The sequence below is a fragment of the Homo sapiens genome, chromosome 12 (assembly GCF_000001405.40).
Source record: "Homo sapiens chromosome 12, GRCh38.p14 Primary Assembly".
In the NCBI taxonomy this organism is placed as follows: Eukaryota; Metazoa; Chordata; class Mammalia; order Primates; family Hominidae; genus Homo; species Homo sapiens.
Genome location: NC_000012.12, coordinates 43584481 through 43587223, shown reverse-complemented (window position 1 = coordinate 43587223; position 2743 = coordinate 43584481). Strand labels below are relative to the sequence as shown.

The window sequence follows — 2743 nt, the reverse complement described above, 5'->3', positions numbered from 1 at the left end:
CCTTTCAAAGAAAAGAGAGAATAATGCCTTCTGCTGGAGTTCTTACCATAGCACTGATGTCAATGTTGGTGTCCGATGTTTAACGCTGATTTGCTGATATTGTCTTGGGATCTGAGGTTCTCATGGGCATCTTGTGGAACAGGTGTTTCTTTGCTTGTCATTGCAACATTGCAATTCCTTCTCCTTGGGGCTGAGGCATCAGTCCCTGGGGACTAGGAAGGAGAACAATCAGGAACAGACATTGCATTCCTAAGCTTAGGCTCACTGGTCTTTTGTCACTTCAAGAGTTCTTGGAACTCTTACTTCTTATGGATGGACTATTTCCCAAGAAGCTTCTTGACTACTCAGGCAAACAGATTACTGAGGGCCTGGGCCACCTGCCCTCAAGACCTGTCTGGACACGTCCGAATCTGAGGCAAAAAACAGCTCAGGCTCAGGTTACACAGATATAATCATGTCGTTGTGTTGTTTGGAATTCTTTAATAACTGCTTACTTCTCATGGTCTTACAAGGCGCTCTCATATCCTGCTTCAGTATGTATCTCCAGACTCAGCGCTCCACACTCTCCTCCTTTTTCCTAGTCCAGCCATATTGAATTATTGTAAGCACCTACATTTCATTGATTCACCAGGTTTCTTGGTCTCCATATTTTACCCATGCTGTCCAAACTGGGTTAGCCACCCTTCCTTCCCTAACCATCACCCCAAAGTGTCAATATCTTTGTATATTTTCACCACTACTGCACTACTCCATTGTATTAATTATCTATTGATGTTTAACGAACTCCCCGAAAACCTAGTGACTTAAAACAACAAACACTTATTGTAACACAGTTTCTGTGGGTCAGAAATCCAGGCATGGCTTAACTGGGTCCTCTATCCAGGGTCTCTTGAAAGGCTACGATTGAAGGTGTTGGTTGGAACAACGGTCTCATATACAGGCTCAACTGGAGAAAGATCCACTTCAAAGCTCACTGACATTGTCATTGGCAGAATTCAGCTGTACATGGGCTGATGGACTGAGGGCTTCTGTTCCTCCCTGGCTATTGACCACAGGCCTCCCTCAGTTACTGATGATGTGGACCTGTTCATAGGTAACTGGTTTCCATCAGAGAAAGCAAGAGAGCAATAGAAGTTGAGCAAGAGAGAAACCAAGAGTCTTTTTGACATTTAATTTGGAAAAGACATCCCATTACTTTTGCTGTATTCTATTTGCTTGAAGCTAGTTACTAGGCTCAGCCCACATTCAAGCAGAGAGAATTATACAAGGGCATGAATACCAGGAGGCGGGGGTATGTTTTGTGGTTGCTTTGTGGAGGGCAATAAACACTCATCCATAATTGGTTAGGATGATGAGACTGTTAGACTGAAGATGCTTCCATCCCTCCATCCAAGCGGTAGGAAAAGATTTATTGCTCACATAATGAGACTTTCTAAAAAAAAGCTGGGCAGGCATAAAAGCTGGTCTGGAATGTCTTTTTTTTTTTTTTTTTTTTCTATCATATTTCTTTTTTTTTTTTTTTTTTCTTTTTTTTTTTTTTATTATACTCTAAGTTTTAGGGTACATGTGCACATTGTGCAGGTTAGTTACATATGTATACATGTGCCATGCAGGTGCGCTGCATCCACTAATGTGTCATCTAGCATTAGGTATATCTCCCAATGCTATCCCTCCCCCCTCCCCCGACCCCACCACAGTCCCCAGAGTGTGATATTCCCCTTCCTGTGTCCATGTGATCTCATTGTTCAATTCCCACCTATGAGTGAGAATATGCGGTGTTTGGTTTTTTGTTCTTGCGATAGTTTACTGAGAATGATGGTTTCCATTTTCATCCATGTCCCTACAAAGGATATGAACTCATCATTTTTTATGGCTGCATAGTATTCCATGGTGTATATGTGCCACATTTTCTTAATCCAGTCTATCATTGTTGGACATTTGGGTTGGTTCCAAGTCTTTGCTATTGTGAATAGTGCCTGCTCCTGAATGACTACTGGGCTACTGGGTACATAACGAAATGAAGGCAGAAATAAAGATGTTCTTTGAAACCAACGAGAACAAAGACACCACATACCAGAATCTCTGGGACGCATTCAAAGCAGTGTGTAGAGGGAAATTTATAGCACTAAATGCCTACAAGAGAAAGCAGGAAAGATCCAAAATTGACACCCTAACATCACAATTAAAAGAACTAGAAAAGCAAGAGCAAACACATTCAAAAGCTAGCAGAAGGCAAGAAATAACTAAAATCAGAGCAGAACTGAAGGAAATAGAGACACAAAAAACCCTTCAAAAAATCAATGAATCCAGGAGCTGGTTTTTTGAAAGGATCAACAAAATTGATAGACCGCTAGCAAGACTAATAAAGAAAAAAAGAGAGAAGAATCAAATAGACACAATAAAAAATGATAAAGGGGATATCACCACCGATCCCACAGAAATACAAACTACCATCAGAGAATACTACAAACACCTCTACGCAAATAAACTAGAAAATCTAGAAGAAATGGATACATTCCTCGACACATACACTCTCCCAAGACTAAACCAGGAAGAAGTTGAATCTCTGAATAGACCAATAACAGGCTCTGAAATTGTGGCAATAATCAATAGTTTACCAACCAAAAAGAGTCCAGGACCAGATGGATTCACAGCCGAATTCTACCAGAGGTACAAGGAGGAACTGGTACCATTCCTTCTGAAACTATTCCAATCAATAGAAAAAGAGGGAATCCTCCCTAAC

At 40.9% G+C, this 2743-nt stretch overlaps 1 annotated feature.

The window, feature by feature from the left end:
• Positions 338-838: an enhancer, noted in NCBI's record as "H3K27ac hESC enhancer chr12:43980189-43980689 (GRCh37/hg19 assembly coordinates)". NCBI's record gives its function as "activates a minimal SCP1, AML or CMV promoter by ChIP-STARR-seq in primed H9 embryonic stem cells {active_cell/tissue: H9 hESC(primed)}" and the evidence as "EXISTENCE:reporter gene assay evidence [ECO:0000049][PMID:30033119]".